The 18,859-nt window shown below is 49.3% G+C and overlaps 1 protein-coding gene across 1 annotated transcript, besides 4 other annotated features; it reads right to left on the bottom strand.

Annotated features, from left to right (window-relative positions):
* Window positions 261–555: a silencer, noted in NCBI's record as "tiled region #11334; K562 Repressive DNase unmatched - State 12:CtcfO". NCBI's record gives its function as "represses a minimal TATA promoter and a strong SV40 promoter by Sharpr-MPRA in K562 cells {active_cell/tissue: K562}" and the evidence as "EXISTENCE:reporter gene assay evidence [ECO:0000049][PMID:27701403]".
* Window positions 12,488–13,308: an enhancer, noted in NCBI's record as "H3K27ac-H3K4me1 hESC enhancer chr10:99478816-99479636 (GRCh37/hg19 assembly coordinates)". NCBI's record gives its function as "activates a minimal SCP1, AML or CMV promoter by ChIP-STARR-seq in primed H9 embryonic stem cells {active_cell/tissue: H9 hESC(primed)}" and the evidence as "EXISTENCE:reporter gene assay evidence [ECO:0000049][PMID:30033119]".
* MARVELD1 (MARVEL domain containing 1) lies at window positions 14,217–18,637 on the bottom strand. Its single transcript, NM_031484.4, has 2 exons — window positions 16,382–18,637; window positions 14,217–15,173 (listed from the first exon to the last, which is right to left on the bottom strand). The coding sequence occupies exon 1, from the start codon at window positions 18,488–18,490 to the stop codon at window positions 17,969–17,971; it is 522 nt and encodes a 173-aa protein (NP_113672.1). The 5' UTR covers window positions 18,491–18,637; the 3' UTR covers window positions 14,217–15,173; window positions 16,382–17,968.
* Window positions 17,746–17,965: a silencer, noted in NCBI's record as "silent region_2685". NCBI's record gives its function as "represses an Ori minimal core promoter by ATAC-STARR-seq in GM12878 lymphoblastoid cells {active_cell/tissue: GM12878}" and the evidence as "EXISTENCE:reporter gene assay evidence [ECO:0000049][PMID:35858748]".
* Window positions 18,276–18,325: an enhancer, noted in NCBI's record as "active region_3858". NCBI's record gives its function as "activates an Ori minimal core promoter by ATAC-STARR-seq in GM12878 lymphoblastoid cells {active_cell/tissue: GM12878}" and the evidence as "EXISTENCE:reporter gene assay evidence [ECO:0000049][PMID:35858748]".
* Window positions 18,638–18,859: the final 222 nt, after the last annotated feature.

Here is an 18,859-nt window from a genome sequence, read left to right as displayed (position 1 = left end):
CAATAGTCGTGGCCTGTAGCGATGAATAAAGGCCTCCCCTTATAATTAAGAGACGGACCAGCTTGACTGTGCTCTCTCGAGTCTAATTCTGATTTTTCCATAATCAAGTTCTAGTTCCTTCTTTCCCTCCTGCAGCATTCTGCCTCAACTCCTGGTGCTGCTGATGTTTTCCCCTTGGTAGCAGACAGGTAGAAGAGACTAAGGGAGAAAATTAAATAATCACTGAAGATAATATCTTACCTTGACATTTTGCAGAGGTTAGTATTTGCTTCAATAAGCAAGTGTGTTTATGGCCCACATACTTGACTCATAAACCTCACTGTGGCCCTTGGAGAAATACTAGGTGGAAATGCTGAGGAGAACAGGCTGGAGAAATCAGGGAAGAGAGAAGGGAATGTCTAAGCATGCCTCCTCCACCAGATGGCTCCCTTGCCCACTCTTATGGAGAAACATGGCATTTCAGAAGCATCTCTTTCAACTCCAAGTTTCTGGCTTTAACCTCTCGTGCCAGCCTCAATGCATTTCTCGCCATTTCCACACTATGCCAGATATTTTCATGCTTCTAGCTGCATTAGTTATCTCTTGCTGTGTAATGAAGTATTTCAAAACTTAATTACTTAAAACAACAATAAGCATGTATTATCTCACAGTTTTTTGGGTTCTGGGTGTTTTTAGTCAGAAAATCAAGAGCAGCTTGGTGATGGTTTTGGCTCAGGCGCTTTCATAAGGTTGCAGTCACATGTTGGTCAAGGCTGCAATCATCTGAAGGCTTAGTGGGGCTGGAGGATCGGCTCCCAGGGTGGCTTCCTCACACAGCTGACAAGGTGATGCTGGCACTCTCCAATAGTGACAAGATGGCAGAAGGTGCCAGGTCCTCCCTCGGGGCTCTCCTGAACGCTTCTTGAGTGTCCTCCTGACATGGCGGATGCCTTAACCCAGAACAAGAGATCCACCAGGGAGCCAGGAAGGAAGCCAAAAGTCTCTTCTGATGCATCCTCAGAAATCACACGCCGTTTTCTTTTTTTCTTTTTTTTTTCTTTTTGTTGTTGTTGTTGTTGAAATGGAGTATAACTCTGTCGCCCAGGCTGGAGAGCAGTGGCATGATCTCGACTCACTGCAACCTCTGCCTCCTGGGTTCAAGTGATTCTCCAGCCTCAGCCTCCCAGGTAGCTGGGATTACAGGCGCCCGCCACCATGCCCGACTATTTTTGTATTTTTAGTAGAGATGGGGTTTCACCATGTTGGCTAGGCTGGTCTCGAACTCCTGACCTCGGGTGATCCACCCACCTCAGCCTCCCAAAGTGCTGAGATTACAGGCGCGAGCCACCACGCCCAGCCTCCATCTCTCTCTCTTTTTTTTTTTTAACTTTTATTTTTGTTTTAGGGGTACATGTGCAGGTTGGTTCCATAGATAAATTCCATGTCATGGGGATTCAGTGTCCATATTATTTTGTCATCCAGTTAACAGGCATAGTATCTGTGTATTTATAGGTAGTTTTTCAATCCTTAGCCTCCTTCAACTTTCCATCCTCCAGTAGGCCCTGGTGTCTCCCTGGTGTCTGTTCCCTTCTTTGTGTCCGTGGGTATTCAGTATTTAGCTCCCATCTATAAGAACATGCAGTGTTTGGTTTTCTGCTCCTGTGTTAGCTCACTTAGGATAATGGCCTCCAGCTCCATCCATGTTGCCGCAAAGGCTATGATCTCGTTCTTTTTACGGCCTTGGTATATATGTACCATATTTTCTTCTTCTTCTTCTTCTTCTTTTTTTTTTTTTTTTTTTTGAGACAGGGTCTCACTCTGTCACCCAGGCTGGAGTACAGTGGCACCATCATGGTTCACTGCAGCCTTCACCTCCTTGGGCTCAGGGGATCCTCCCACCTCAGTCTCCCAGGTAGCTGGGATTACAGGCACGCGTCAACAAGCCCAGCTAATACTTGTATTTTTTTTGTAGAGCCGGGATTTCACCATGTTTCTCAGGCTGGTCTCGAACGCCTGGGCTCAGACTATCCACCTGCCTGGGCCTCCCAAAGTGTTAGGATTACAAGCGTGAGCCACAGCATCCGGCCTGTACCACATTTTCTTTATCCAATCTACCATTGATTCCATCTCTATTAGGCACCTATCACCTTGCATTTCACTCTATCTCTTGAACATGACTGTTTCTCCATTGTTTCCTAAGTTCTAAGAGCAGGGAAACAGATTTAACATTTTGGCAGCCTCAGTTTCTACCAAGTATAGAGCTGTGGCATAGTAGGTACTCAATGAATGCTTGTTTAAAAATGAATAAATAACATGGAAAATAAGAAGTTAGTGGGGGCTGGGCATGGTGGCTCATGCCTGTAATCCCAGCACTCTGGGAGGCTGAGGCGGGTGGATCATGAGGTCAGGAGTTCGAGACCAGCCTGACCAACATGGTGAAAGCTCGTCTCTACTAAAAGTACAAAAATTAGCTGGTCATGGTGGCGCATGCCTGTAATCCCAGCTACTCAGGAGGCTGAGGCAGGAGAAAGCTTGAACCTGGGAGGCAGAAGGTTGCAGTGCCACTGCACTCCAGCCCGGACGACAGAGTGAGACTCCGTCTTAAAAAAAAAATAGAAGTTGGGGATGTGGAGAAATCGGAACCCTTGTGCACTGTCAATGAAAATGTAAAATGGTATAGAAAGCATTGTGGCAGTTCCTTAAAAATTAAAAAATAGAATTACCATTTGATCCAGCAATTCCACTTCTGAGTATATACCCAAAAGAATTTAAAGCAAGGTCTCAAAGAGATATTTGTACACCCATGTTCATTCGCAGATTATTCACAATAGCCAAAAGGTGGAAGCAACCCAGGTGTCCATCAGTGGATGAATGGATAAACAAAATGCGGTATAAACAGAAGATGGAACATTGTTCAGCCTTAAAAATGAAGGACATTCTGACACATGCTACAGCATGGATGACCCTTGAATACATTATGCTAAATGAAATAAGCTAGTGACAAAAAGATAAGTACTGTATGATTCCACTTCTATGAAGTACCTAGCGTAGTCAAATTCAGAGACTGAAAGTAGAATGGTGGTTGCCAGGGGCTGTGGGGAGGAGGAAATGGGGAGTTATTGTTTCATGGTTCAGGGTGGTAGTTTTGCAAGATGAGAAGAGCCATGGAGATGGATGGTGGTGATGGTTGCACAACAGCCAGTATAGACCATGTTGTTTAACAACATGAATGGACTTAATACCATCGAACTGTACACTTGAAAATGGTCAATTTTATGTTATGTGTATGTTACTACAATTAAAAAAATTTTAAGAGGCTGGGCGGTGTGGCTCACGCCTCTAATCCCAGCACTCTGGGAGACAAAGGCCTGCGGATCACTTGAGGCCAGGAGTTCAAGACCAGCCTGGCTGACATGGCGAAACCCCATTTCTACTAAAAATACAAAAATTAACCAGGCATGGTGGCGCTTGCCTGTAATCTCAGCTACTCAGGAGGCTAAGGCACGAGAATCGCTTGAGCCTGGAAAGCGGAGGTTGCAGTGAGCTGAGATCGCGCCATTGCACTCCAGCCTAGGTGACAGAGGGAAACTCTGTCTCAAAAAAAAAAAAAAAAATTAAAGCCGGGCACGGTGGCTCACGCCTGTAATCCCAGCACTTTGGGAGGCTGAGGTGGGTGGATCACGAGGTCAGGAAATTGAGACCATCCTGGCTAATGCAGTGAAACCCCGTCTCTACTAAAAATACAAAAAATTAGCTGGGCATAGTGGTGGGCGCCTGTAGTCCCAGCTACTCGGGTGGCTGAGGAAGGAGAATGGCATGAACCCGGGAGGCGGAGCTTGCAGTGAGCTGAGATCGCGCCACTGCATTCCAGCCTGGGCGACAGAGCAAGACTCTGTCTCAAAAAAAAAAAAAAAAAATTAAAAATTAGTGAATGATATAAACAAAATATATTCTATCCGTTCACTGGAATATTATTCACCATAAAAAATGAGTCTTGAGATCATATTGGAAGACAAAAAAAGAAATGAGTTATTAATACATGCTACAACATGAATGAACCTTGAAAACATTGTGCTAAGTGAAAGAAACCAGACATAAAAGCCACATACTATTCCATTTATGTAAAATGTCCAGAATAAACAAATCTTTTTTTTTTTTTTTTTTTTTTTTTGAGGCAGAGTCTCTCTCTGTCACCCAGGCTGGAGTGCAGTGGCACGATCTTGGCTTACTGCAACCTCTGCCTCCTGGGTTCAAGTGATTCTCCTGCCTCAGCCTCCTGAGTAGCTAAGATTACCAGGCGCCCGCCACCACACCTGGCTAATTTTTTTGTATTTTTACTAGAGATGGGGTTTCACCATGTTGGCCAGGCTGGTCTTGAACTCCTGACCTCAGGTGATCTTCCCACCTCAGCCTCCCAAAGTGCTGGGATTAAGGCACGAGCCACCGCACCCAGCCAGAATATGCAAATCTATAGAGACAGAGTAAATTAGTGGTTGCCAGAGACTGGAAGGAGGGAGGAACTGGGAGTGACTGCTAACAGGTACAGGGTTTCTCTTTGGGGTGATGGAAATGTCCTCGAATTAGATGGTGGTGATGGTTATACAACCTTCTGAATATACTGAAAACCACTGAATTGTACACTTTAAAACTAGGAATTTTTGGCCAGGTGCAATGGCTCACGCCTGTAATCCCAGCACTTTGGAAAGCTGAGGCAGGTGGATCACCTGAGGTCAGGAGTTCAAGAACGGCCTGGCCAACATGATGAAACTCCATCTCTATGAAAAATACAAAAATTAGCCTGGCATGGTGGTGGGTGCCTGTAATCCCAGCTACTCGGGAGGCTGAGGCAGGAGAATCTATTGAACCCGAGAGGCGGAGGTTGCAGTGAGCTGAAATCGCACCACTGCACTCCAGCCTGGACAACAGAGCAAGACTCTGTCTCTAAATAAATAAATAAAAATAAAACTGGGAATTTTTATGTCATATTATGTGAAATATTATGGTATATGAATTAGGTTTCCATTTTTAAAATGAATAGATGCAACAAAACAAAAAAAGAAAGAAAAAATGAATAGACAAATGAAAGAAATATTTGACTGGTATGTATCTTTAAAGTCTCCTTAATATTTGGATTTTCTCTAGTATTTAAGCTTATCGTTTGACCAGTGTATATTTTTGGATTAACAGTTCAGTGTCATTGCCCTAAAAAGTGTTCAATAAATACATCTTTATGTTCTTGTACCTGGGAAAGAAGTACTCATGAGTAATGAGTTTTCCAGCTGTGAGACAGTGGTTGTTGGACAAACACAGCAAGGAAATGACTGTCTGCAGTTACATTCTTACTCAACAGCTCTTGGCAGCCATGAAAACAACCATTCATCAAACACTGGCACTAAAAGAGTTCACAGAGCAAGGCAATGAAAACTTCAGCAATAAAACCTTGTGCCTCCCTTGAAAGCGACGATTAACTGTCCACCAAAAAGTCCTGTGCCCCCTACCATGATATAGAGTTGTTGCTACGCAGCAGCTGCCTGGCTAGGGACTACATTTCCCAGCATCCTCTGCTTATAGGTCAGGTCCTGTTACTCCCAAGGAGGTGAGTGGGAGCGCTGACTGTTACTTCTAGATGAAGGTATGCAGGAAGCAGGAAACCTTCTCCTGCCTCTCCTCCCTCACCTGCGAGCTCAGTGCAGAGCAGATGGCCGAGCCACGGGGTGGAAGGAGCCTGGGTCCTTGAGTCACCGTATGGTGGAGCGTCTCCCTCTGCCCCAGAGTAGCCACAGTGCACAATTATGTGAGGAAGAAATAGATTTGTATATGAATAACAAATAGATTTTCATTATATGAAACTGCTGAAATGCTGAGGTGTATTTGTTATAGCAGCTAGCCATCAGCATTTATTCATTCCACCAAATGACTACGTATCATGTGCCTTTCATGGGATTATAGAGATGAAGAGCCTGGAATTCTTTCCTGAAAAGCTTACAGCCTAGTGGGACAGACAGACACCCTGAATAAGTATACCACCAATGGGAGAGCAGTACGTGACCCACCAAAAAACCTGAATACACCAACTATCATTTACAAACTTGAAAGAATTAAAAATAAAAAGAAATAAAAATGTAAAACCCAAAAGGCATCAGGCCCAGATTTATTTCATAGACAAATTTTATCGAACCCATTTTTTTTTTTCTGAGGCGGAGTCTGTCTCTCTCTGTTGCCCAGGCTGGAGTACAGCGCGATCTCGGCTCACTGCAACCTCTGCCTCCTGGGTTCAAGCAGTTCTCCTGCCTCAGCCTCCCGAGTAGCTGGGACTACAGGCACCTGCCATCACAACCAGCTAATTTTTCTGCTTTTTTGGAGAGGTAGGGTTGGTCTCTACTAAACTTAATGGTCTAGTAAATAAATACATAAAGATGTATTTATTGAACACTTGTTGACCAGGCTAGTCTCGAACTGCTGACCTCAGGTGATTTGCCCCCCTTGGCCTCCCAAAGTGCTGGGATTACAGGCATGAGCCACCGTGCCAGCTAGAACCCATTTTTTAAAATGATATAGTTAAACTATTCCAGAGCATAGAACAGTATGAAAAACTTCCTAATTTAGTCTGTGAGTCCAGAATCACCCCCTCTGTTACAAATCCCAAGCAAGAACACACACACACACACACACACACACACACACACACACACACACCAGATTTCATCTGGGGTATAGACAATTTTAAAATAATAAAAACAATAAGCCTACCACACAAATGAGCCATTCCACTGCTAGCTGTCTACCCAAAATAAATTAAAGCATATGTGTCCACACAAAGACGTGTACATGAACGTTCAAAGCAGCTATATTTGCAATAACCAAAAATTTGAAACAACACAAATGTCCATCAACAGGCTAAACAAATTATAGTGTATCTGTATATTCACTCAGCAATGAAAATGAACTACTGTTACTGCAACATCATGAATGAATCTCAAAATAATTAAGCTGAGTGAAAGAAGCCAGATACCGCCCTCTCCCAAAAGGAGCACATACTATACATTTCATTTATATAAAATTCTAGAATTCTATAATCATAGAAAGCAGATCAATGGTTCCCTGGTGTGGGGGAGATGGGAAGGAAAGAAGAGGGAGTACAAAGAGCACAGGGAAGCTTTTGGACATTATGAATATGTTTTCTTTCTCTTTTTTTTTTTTTTTGAGACAGGGTCTTGCTGGAGTGCAGTGGCATAATCATAGCTCACTGCAACCTCAAACTCCTGGGCTCAAGTGAGCCTCCTGCCTCAGCCTCCATAGTGGCAGTAAGCTGAGATCACTCCATTGCACTCCAGCCTGGGTGACAAGAGTGAAACTCCGTCTCAAAAAAAAAAAAAAAAACACACACACACACACACACAAGAAAGAATTCAAGAAAGAACAGTAGACACCAATGAGAAAGAAGGATTAGCCAAGGCTGGTGAGATTATCATTCCTTAGGTGCAGGGAGACCCAGAGTGGAATGGGGCAGGAGGGAGTTCACATTTATGAGCACTAACTATGACTGTGGGTCAGGCGTTGAGCCCAGCATTTTATGTATATCTTATGAAATCCTCCCAACAAACATATACTGCTGAGGGCTGAATTGCACTGATGAAATTGCCAGGCACGCCTCATCTCATGAAGCTCTTTCAACAGCCCAGTGAGGTAGGTACTAATATTATCCCCATTTACTAAGTGAGGAAGCTAAGAGGCAAAGAGGTTTCATAAATTGCCTAAGACTGGACAACTAATAAGAGATAGAGCTCACCTCTGACATCACAGCCTGAGCTCACCCAAAAATTAGAACGAGTCATGCTAACTGCCTGGGAGACACAAAAGGAGACAGAACAGAGTACAGGACAAGATTGCAAAAGGCAGAGGCTTTAGTATCCAGAGTTTGGAGTCAGGTCAGGTGTCCACACCTCTGGCACAGGGCCACGAGAGGGAGGAGGGGCTGGGAGGCCCTCTGACATATCCTTCTCACATCCTGCGGACAGAGGGATGGTCTCCAGGGAATGGGAGAGTGACCTCGGCATAATAAGCTGATTATACCTAAAGGTAACTAGCTAACTTCATTATAGCCTGGGAAGAGAGAAGTGACATAATTCAGATTTGTAATACCTTTTTTTTAAATATATACAGGGTCTTGCTCTGTCACCCAGGCTGGAGTACAGTGGTGCACTCATAGCTCGCTACAGCCTCAACCTCCTGGGCTCAAGCAATCCTCTCACTTCAGCCACCCGTGTAGCTGGGACTACTGCTGCATGCCACCATGCCCAGCTAATTTTTTTATTTTTTGTAGAGATGGAGTCTTGCTATGTTGCTCAGGCTGGTCTCGAAATCCTGGGCTCAAGCAATCCCCCTGCCTTGGCCTCCTCAAGTGTTGGGATTACAGGTGTGAGCCACCACGCCCAGCCTATCACCCAGACTGGAGTGCAGTGGCACCATCTCAGCTCACTGCAACCTCTGGCTTCTGTCACTGCAACCTCTGGCTTCTGGGTTCAAGCGATTCTCCTGCTTCAGCCTCCTGAGTAGCTAGGATTACAGATGCCCGCCACCATGCCCAGCCAATTGTGTGTGTGTGTGTGTGTGTGTGTGTGTGTGTGTGTGTGTGTGTGTGTGTGTAGTAGAGATGGGGTTTCACCATGTTGGCCAGGCTGGTGTCGAATTCCTGACCTCAAGTGATCCACCTGCCTCAGCCTCCCAAAGTGCTGGGATTACAGGCGTGAGGCACTGCACCTGGCCTCCTGGCCTATTCTTTAGTCTTTCTTTCCTGCATTAGCTCAAGATGTAAATATTTCAAAACTCGGATGAAGTTTGGATGAAGTATTCAGATGGTTGGGAAAAAGCTTGTCTGCTGGGAAATCCTTGAAGCAGCATGGTGGCATGGTGGCACAGACCTGAGTTTGAATCTTGTTTCGGTCAGTGCGCATTCAAGTGCCAGGCCACATCAACCTACCCCTGTGAGCCTGTTTCCATGACTGTTAAATGGGGGTATTTGCTACTTCGTGGAAATGGGAGGATAAGAGATGTTATATAAGGCACCCATTATGTTCTTGGCTCATGGTAGGTCCTTCCTAAAGCTACTTCCCTTTCTCCCTCTTCCCAGCCTTGACTCAGAAGTGCTTCACAACTGCATGTCAGAGCACTGCCTTCAGGCATCCTGGAGATGGCAGCAAGGATAACTTGCCTCTAGCTGGAGGGACAGGCAAGTATGAAGCCTGGAGGGTCAGCCTCCAGCCTCCAGCAGCTTCCTGTCCCCATCTGTGCTGCGGAAGGAATGGCACAGCCTTGGTGCCTACCAGATCCCAAACAGCCACCCAGTTCAAAAGGAATGAGGTGCCAGGTGTGGCGGCTCATGCCTGTAATCCCAGCACTTTGGGAGGCCAAGCTGGGTGATCACCTGAGGTCAGGAGTTCGAGACCAGCCTGGCCAACGGGGTAAAACCCCGTCTCTACTAAAAATACAAAAATTAGCTGGGCGTGGTGGCACGCGCCTGTAATCCCAGCTACTCAGGAGGTTGAGGCAGGAGAATCGCTTGAACCAGAAGGCAGATGTTGCAATGAGCCGAGATCGTGCCACTGCACTCCAGCCTGGGTGACAGAGTGAAACTTGGTCTCAAAAAATAAAAAAATAAAAGGAATAAAGGAATGAGGCCATGAGGCCATGGATTAAGGAGGGAAGAAGGGCCTTCAGATTAGAAACCAATCTGGAATTTCCATGGGCTGTTGAGGCTGGCCTGGGTGGGTCCCACAGACCTCCTGCCAGGCATGTCTTAAGTGCTCTTCTTGGGTTCTGACCACCTCCCCAGCATACGTTGCCCCACCGGGCCCAGAAAGTCTCAGGCCCTCCTCATCTCTTTCCAGCTGCCCCCACCAACCCTAGTCCCTGGGACTCCTATCCTCAAGACTGGCTATGGAGTGGGATGCAGCCACTCCAGGGCTCCTCCCATCCTTGCTACTCTTGGCAGCATAAGGGTTAGAAAGGGCACAGGCCCGGGGAACCACCTGCCCTCACTATCTGTTTCCTCATCACTAGAAAAGGACCCACCTCCTTTTATGGGTTTAATTACGATCTCTACAGGGAACACCCAAGGGACTAACAAAGTTAACCAGTGTAAGAAAGTTATAAAGGTTCCAGAAAGCCCATAGAACTCTTGCAGTCCCTGACTACTGTTTCTATGGACATAGAGAGTTGGAACTATATTATTGTTACATTTAAAAAGTTAAGTCGTGCAAGAGTCTGTGTGTGTGTGTGTGTGCGCGCACATCCATAAATGTTTGATTAGTTATAAAAACTAGAGAGGTCCGGCGCGGTTGCTCATGGCTGTAATCCCAACACTTTGGGAGGCCATGTCGGCGGATTGTTTGAGTCTAGGACTTCAAGACCAGGCTGGGCAACTGGTTACAACCCTGTCTCTACCAAAATACAAAAAAAAAAAAAAAAAAATTGCTGGGTGTGGTGGCATGTGTCTGTAGTCTCAGCTACTTGGAAGACTGAGGTGGGAGGGTGACCTGAGCCCAGGAGGTCGAGGCTGCAGTGAGCCGTGATCACACCACTGCATTCCAACCTGCACAACTGAGGAAGACCCTGTCTCAAAAAAAAGAGGAAGGAGAGTTAATAGTTAACAAAGATTTTGGTGGATGGATCACCTCAGATCAGGAGTTCGAGACCAGCCTGGCCAACATGGTGAAACTCTGTCTCTACTAAAAATACAAAAATTAGCTGGTTGTGGTGGCACACACCTGTAATCCCAGCTACTCGGGAGACTGAGGCACTAGAATCACCTGAACCTGGGAGACGGAGGTTGCAGTGAACCAAGATCATGCCACTGTCCTCCAGCCTAGCCGACAGAGTAAGACTGTGTCTCGAAACAAAAAAAAAAACAAAACAAAACAACAACAACAAAACACAATGATTTTTCTCTAGGGTATGAGATTAGGATGGTCAAGGCCAGGCATGGTGGCTCATGCCTGCAATCCCAGCACTTTGGGAGGCCGAGGCAGGCAGATCATACGATCAAGAGATCGAGACCATCCTGGTTAACATGGTGAAACCCCATCTCTACTAAAAACACAAAAAAATAGCCAGGTGTGGTGGCAGGGACCTATAGTCCCAGCTACTCGGGAGGCTGAGGCAGGAGAATGGCGTGAACCCGGGAAGCAGAGCTTGCAGTGAGCCAAGATCACGCCACTGCATTCCAGCCTGGGGGACAGTGTGAGACTCCACGTCAAAAAAAAAAAAAAAAAAAAAGCCGGGTGTGGTGGCTCACACCTGTAATCCCAGCACTTTGGGAGGCCGAGGTGGGCGGATCACAAGGTCAGGAGATGGAGACCATCCTGGCTAACACGGTGAAACCCCATCTCTACTAAAAATACAAAAAAAAATTAGCCAGGCATCGTGGTGGGCGCCTGTGGTCCCAGCTACCCAGGAGGCTGAGGCAGGAGAATGGCGTGAACCCAGGAGGCGGAGCTTGCAGTGAGCCCAGATCGCGCCACTGCACTCCAGCCTGGGCGACACAGCGAGACTCCGTCTCAAAAAAAAAAAAAAAAAAGAAAAGAGAGATTAGGATGGTCAAATGACTTCTTTATACTTTTTTTTTTTTTTTGACACTGAGTTTCACTCTGTTGCCCAGGCTGGAGTGCAGTGGCACGATCTCGGCTCACTGCAACCTCTGCCTCCCAGGTTGAAGCAATTCTCTTCTCAGCCTCTCGAGTAGCTGGGGACTACAGGTGCGTGTCACCATGCCCGGCTAATTTTTGTATTTTTTGGTAGAGGCAGGGTTTCACCATGTTGCCCAGGCTGGTCTCAAATTCCTGAACTCAAGTGATCCACCCAACTTGGCCTCCCAGAGCGTGAACCACCTCGCCCAGCCTCTTTTTACTTTTTGTTTTTTTCGTTGTTGTTTTGAGGGTCTCACTCTGTCGCCCAGGTGGGAGTGCAGTGGCACAATCATGGCTCACTACAGCCTCAACCTCCCAGGCTCAAGAGATCCTCCCACTTCAGCCTCCTGAATAGCTGGGACCACAGGCACACGCCACCATGCCCAGCTGATTTTTTTCATATTTTTTGTCAAGACAGGGTTTTGCCATGTTGCCCAGGCTGGTCTCGAACTCCTGAGCTCAAGTGATCTGCCCACCTCAGCCTCCCAAAGTGTTGGGAATTACAGGCATGAGCCACTGCGCCTGGCCCAGCTTCTCTTTTTACAAATCTATACTGCTTACGTTTTTTGATGGTGCATATTGGTATTATATTTTCATGGATATATATTGCTATTTTATTTTATAAATAACTATTGTGACCAAACAAAAAACACGTAAATAAATCATGCTAACCAAACTTTTCTCTCTCATATTCCTGCTTTTTCCTTTTATCATTGAAAATGTTCATTTATTAATTCTTGTTTTTTACCGCTGACCACCCCACCTCCAACCCTAGAAAAGCAGGAAAAGTAATAGACATAAACCCTGAGATTTCCCACTCATAGGACCTCATTATGTCTCTGAGAAGCAGTGTCTTATTTCAAAGTGCACTAAGCAGGAAATGCCAGATTAGGCCATTCCTAAACACCTGGTCTCCTGGAAGGAAAACCAAACTCCCTAGACTCTCTAGAGCCTGCCAAAGGACCACAGGGCTTAAAGAAACCTCTGCCTTCCAGTCCCTGCCCTGCCGCTAGCCAGCTCTGTGACCATGGATAAGGCCTTTCCATTCTCTGGGCTCCATTTCCTCTATTGAATGAGGTGGCAGATGTGGGGGGCAACAATGCCAACCTATGAGACTACTGGGAAGGGGCTGGGTGCAGTAGCTTACGCCTGTAATCACAGCATTTTGGGAGGCCGAGGCGGGTGGATCATGTGAGGTCAGAAATTTGAGACCAGCCTGGCTAACATAGTGAAAACCCGTCTCTATTAAAAATACAAAAATTGGTAGGGCCTGGTGGTGCGCGCCTGTAGTCCCAGCTACTCAGAAGGCAGAGGCAGAATTGCTTGAACCTGGGAGATGGAGGTTGCAGTGAGCTGAGATCATGCCATTGCATTACAGCTTGAGTGACAGAGCAAGACTCCATCTCAAAAGAAACAAAAGACTACAGAGAAGATCAAATAGGGTAATGCAGGGGGAAGCACATTTTCAACTGCAAAACGCTCCACTGCTAAAATAGAGTAGAGCAGGGGCTTACCAGCCTTTGCAGAAAGCAGAGCCACTTTTTACTTTGCCTGAAATTCACGAACAGACAGGAGAGGGAAGAGGGGAGTAGGGGAGGGGCCTTGGCAGCTGATGGTGTTTTCCTCCCCCACTCTCCAGTCACAAACCAAATTATGAAGAGAGTGTGTGTGCCTGTGTATGTTTGTGTGCGCAGGCACTGGAATGGTTCTTTGGAAGACAGTGGGTGTGGCGCACACACACGTGGCATCAGATCCCAGCCTGGAGCTGTTCCAGGTGAGTTTTGAAATCTTCCTGTTTCCTGGCTGCAGATGTCACGCCCAGGGCACAGGGAGGAGGAATGTTCCAGGTGAGTTTTGAAAAATCCTCTTTCCAGGCTGCAGATGTCACGCCCAGGGCACAGGGAGGAGGAGCCTGGGAGGAAGCCTCTTAACTCTGCCCTCACACCCTTTCCAGGGCATCCGTCAGCAGCCAGCAGCTGGCTGGACAAAGAATCTCTGGGGAATCGGGTGAAAGGCAGGTGGGGTGTGGTCCAGGAGGCAACACCAGAGCAGGCCACAGTGGTGTGCAGGGAAAAAAACAGGGCCTGGCTACGGGAGACCCCAACTCTGCCCCTAATCAGCTGTGTAGCATCAGGCAGGTTGCCACCACGCCCTGGACTTCATTTCCTCTTCTGTAAAACGATGGGGTTGGACTAGAACAGGACCCTCTAGCTCCACAACCACGGTCTTTCTGCGCACAGAATGAGAGGCAGTGGAGCTCCCTAACAGAGGGCCCATTGAGAGCAGGGACAAAAGCCTCTGGAATTCCCTCCAGCCTCCATCAGGGACACAGGCAGTTTTCTTCCCTCTGGTTTCTGTCCTCAGGCAACCCCTGGCCCAAGCTCCTAACTGCACTAGAGATCTGTGAACTCACTCTCTTTCCCTCCTAGAAGGAAAGAGGAAGCCAGAGAGGCAGAAAGGAGGCCAGCAGCAGGGCGTGAGGCACAATGAGATAGAATGGGAGGACCTCACATGGAGGGACGCTACAGAGGACCAGGACAGAAGACACACACACCAAGAGCAAACAACCAAACTTTATCCAGAAAAGCATATTTGTAATCACCACTAAACAATGAGGCACATCGGTCCCCTCTCCCCAACCACCCTCACTCTTCCCAAACCCACTCTCTCTTTTGGCTTTTATAGAACACTGTAGAAATCCTTTCCTGAGTCTGCAAATGGCCCCAGACTGGGATGGGAGCTGCCCAGAGTAGTCTTGGGCTGGACTGAGTCCTGGTGCCCAGAGAGGGAGACCTATGCAACTGCCTCCAGTATCCAAAAGTTCTGGGGGCAGGTCGGGTGGCCACCCCTATGGCACAGGGCCTTGAGGGAGGGTGAGTGTGGTGGCGGTCTTACGTGTTCTTCTCATACCTGGCAGACAGAGTGAGCACAAGCCGCTGGAAGCCAAGCGGGAAGGCACATCTAGAAGGGCAGTGAGCTCTGGAATGCTACAGGCACGTGTGGATGGATGAGGCTCCATGGCGGCCAAGGAGATATCTGCTCCTGAGTAAGGTCACCTGACCACAGACAGCACCAGGGGCTGGGGGGCTAAGAAGGAGATCTTGAGAAGGATGGACCTGAGCTAAAGATGTAACTTAGATGGTGATCTGAAAAAAGGAAAAAAGAATAAACGCTGGAACTCAAATCCACTGTTTAGGGTACAGGAGTACACAGCTAAGTTCCAGGTATCCAGAATCTTGTGTCCAAATCATAGCACAAGGAGAACAGGAATTCTCTTGAGTTAAGGCAAAATCAATCTTCACCCATCTGGGCTCTTCCATTGCATGGTTTGGAAAGGAAGGGGCTGGGCAGAGATCATTCCTCTCCCCATCTCCCCCTACTGCCAGTGAAGACTCTGAAAGCTTCTGCAGGCCAAGGCCAGAATGGTGTTGCCAGCCCAGGGCAGCGGGCCCTGAGAGCGGTCGGTGTGACCAGCTCTGGGAATCTCCATGGCCTCAGCAACATGGAAACCTGCAACAGGAGAACCAAAGTCAAAGGGCTTCCAAAGCACCCCAAGTGTCTCACCCCAGGCTCTCACTGCACCAGCACTTGGGGCTGAGGGGACTCCTAGTCTCAAGCCTCGGCCCCCCAAAGTGCTGGGATTACAGACATGAGCCACTGCGACTAGCTGTGAATGTTCTTAATGCCACTGAACTATACACTTAAAAATGGTTAAGATGGTAAATTTTATGTATATTTTACCACAATTTAAAAAATAGCTACATTAACAGTATCTAACATGTATTGATACCCTACTATATAGAGTATAGCCTGGTCATGAAGAGGCCAGGCTGCCAGGGTTCAAATCCTACCTCTACCACTCATTAGCTGGGAGACCTTGGGCAAGGTATTTAACCTCTCTGGGATTCAACCTCCTCATTTGGAATATGGCAATGACATTAGAACCCACCTCATTAGGGTTACTGAGAGAATCAATGGACACCTATAAAATGCTTTGAGACGTGCCAACCATATAATAGAGCTACATAGGTGCTCTGATGGCAACATATCTAGAACTACATTCATGCTTCACACACCCTGAAACTACACCTTTGCAGCCTCCACAGAGAAAGCTAACACCTGTGCACCTAAGCTTTAAAAACAAGCTCACAAAAACACGCAGCCTCCCCTCTTCTAGTTTCTAATCCAGAGAAGGTTGAGCCTTTTCAAACAGCAGACCTGGCCAGGCACAGTGGCTGAGATCTGTAATCCCAACACTCTGGGAGGCTGAGACGGGAGGATCTCTTGAGCCCAGGAGTTCGAGACCAGCATGCAAAATACAATGGGGCCCTGTCTCTACAAAAATTTAAAAACTAGCCAGGCATGGTGGTATGTGCCTGTAGTCCCAGCTACCCGGGAGGCTGAGGTGAGAGGATCGCTTCAGTCTGGGAGGTCGAGACTGCATTGAGCCATAATCACATCACTGCACTCCAGCGTGGGTGACCCAGTAAGACTGCCTCAAAAACAAAACAAAAGAGAAAGAAAAAATAAAAGAGCAGACCATTGAAGGATTTAGCAAAAAGGTTGAATTTTCACAACTCTGTAGATATTGTGGTTATTACCGTCACCTCTCCAACTTGCTCTGAATAAAAACCCTTTAACTTCTGGAAAAGGAGTAGGCTCTGTGCTTTTTATTCAAATGCCCAGGACCCCTTCCAGAAAACCAAGAAGCGTCTTACCTTACAGGCCCAGCCAGCAGGTCACCCCAGCGCCAGAGAGTGGTTCTTCTCTTTGGTAAGGGAGACCCACCCTGTCAGCTGCTCCAGATCAGTGCCGGGATCTCTTGCAGGTGACTTTCCTTTAGCCTGGGAAAACCATCTGAATAACTTTGGCTTCATTTCTCCAACAATGTAAAGGAATGTTCAAATTCCCCAGTTCAGGTCTCTGGCTAGAGGCAGCAATCTACTTCCTCACTGGGGTGGGTCCCCTCCCTCTGCTAGAGAATTCCCTGGGGAAGAAAGAGAAGGCGCCCCCCAAATCTTCAAACAGAACACAGCCAATGGGTTGGGCCCTTCGGCATGAATGAGAGCCGGGACAGCACAGGGATGCTGGGAATCTTAAGGTGGGAATACTGCTCCAGGCCCAGGAGCAGTTAATACAGCAAACTAAATTATTTCTGTAACAGCGGGACTTCTCAGTCTTTGATAAGCTAATGAGCATCTCCAAGAAAGGGAGACAGCACCGTTGACAAACCCATTTGGCCTTGAAACCCTCTTTTAGGAGAGGCGGCTCCTGAGCCAGGGGTCCTGACTCACCCACCCTTTTAATGCAAACAGCGCTGGACTGCAAGTCTGGGTTCCAATCTTACTCTGGCTGTTCCCAAGAGCAGGCTCTGGGTCCCCATCTGTAAGAAGGGGTGGGGTTCACCTTAACATTCCACCATGGTCGTGGAACTCCTAATGCAAACAGATATGGGGGAGGGTGGAGATGAGGGGGGCGGCAGAAGCCTGTGAGGAAGGCTGGGAAGAGACTTGTGTCACGGAGAGGCCAGGACAGTTAGTGTGTGTTTGGCACTGGCCTGCAAAAACCTTAAGGACAAAGGCGGAGTAGGTAGAGGCAAGAGGAGACTCCACAAGTGTAAGGGTACAACCCACCGGCTTCTCCTATCGGTCCCCACCTCGGCGGATGGGCCCCACCCCAAGACAACCGAGCACAGAGAGACCGGCTGGGAGGAGCTTCGCAGGATGCCAGCACAATCCCCAGCTAAAACCAAACTCGTCGCTCATCCTGGGACCAGCCAAGGCCTGTCCTCAGCTCCGCCCGCGGCCCAGCGCCTGCGTTTTACAGCACCGGAGGCTGGATGAGGGGCCAGGGAAGGGAGTGCTCTTCCGACCACGGGGCGGGAGGGAAGGGGGCAGCCAGAAGCCTGGTTCCAATTTGGGAGCCTCCCCCGGATCTGCGCGGCCCCTGTCCACGTCTTAGTCTCAGCAGGGAAGGGAAGAGGAACCGCGAGGTTTCGCCTCGGGGCGGCTCGTCTGCGAGTGTGTGTCAGCCCCTCGGATCGCAGCCTGCGCTTGTCCCGGGAGACGGCGCGTCCGGCGCGGCGGTCGGGATTCTGGGCTGGGATTCTGGGCGGCGGCGGCGCTGCCGTCGGGCGGGAGCTGAGCGTCAGGGTTCCCGGGCGCGGGCGACAGTGGAAACGCTGGAGGGCAGGGAGAGGGTGCCAGGGCGCACCCGCGCGGGGCGGCGGCGGGGGAAGGGATTAAGGAGGCTGGTCTCCGGGGATTCCCCCGCCCCGATCGGGGCCGCGGCGGGCGCGGGCGGCCTCACGCCACCTCCTGCTTGCCCTGGCAGCGACGCCCGCAGCCATAGAGCGCCGAAAGCAGGTAGAGGCCGTGGCAGACGCCGCCGCAGACGGCGGCCGCCAGGAAGGCGTGGTAGGCGCAGGGGAGCGGGTAATCCTTGAGGTTGCAGTAGCTGTGGCGCTGCATCTGGTCGCTCATGATGCCGGTGGCGGCGCCGTAGAGCGCGGCCGCCAGCACATCGTGCGCCACGTTGACCATGAGCCAGCGCGAGCCCAGCACGGGGACCAGCTCGTGCTTGCCCAGCAGCGTGAGGAAGTAGAGGCCCAGGGTGAGCAGCCAGAAGAGCACGGACACGAAGAGCGCGAAGTGCACGGGGCCCTGGTACTTGCTGGTGGCGATAGTGATCCAGAAGGCAGCGCCGGCCAGCAGCTGCAGCAGCCGCAACACGCCCAGCGGGCTGCGCAGGAAGGGCCGCTGCAGGCGCACCGCGCCGCGGGCCGCACGCGCCTGGGGCGGCGGCTGGCGCGGGGGCGGCGGGAGCATGGCCCCTGGGCGCGGTGGCGGCGGCGGCGGCGCCCCGAGCAGCGGAATGGCGGCGCCTTGCTCGCGGGGGCAGCACGGCCCAGGTGCCCGCTGCGCCCGCCGCGGCCTCCTCGCCTTGCTCCCCTCTTAGTCCTCTCTTCCTCTCCTCCTTTCCCCACCCTTCCTCTCCTCTCTCCTCCCCTCGGCCCTCCTCGCCTTCTGTCTCCAGCTCTCCACCCTTCCCACCCGCCCCTTTCCCTTCCCCTTCCCCTCGGCTGTCTCCTCCCCCGCGCGCTCCTCCCGGCTTCCTGCCATCTCTCTTTCCATCTCGCTCACCACCCTGGCGCCCCCCTTTCCCCTCTGCGCCAGGCCCCCAGCTCGGATTCCTTC

Source organism: Homo sapiens, chromosome 10 (genome assembly GCF_000001405.40).
Source record: "Homo sapiens chromosome 10, GRCh38.p14 Primary Assembly".
In the NCBI taxonomy this organism is placed as follows: domain Eukaryota; kingdom Metazoa; phylum Chordata; class Mammalia; order Primates; family Hominidae; genus Homo; species Homo sapiens.
This window is presented reverse-complemented; position numbering and strand designations above follow the sequence as displayed.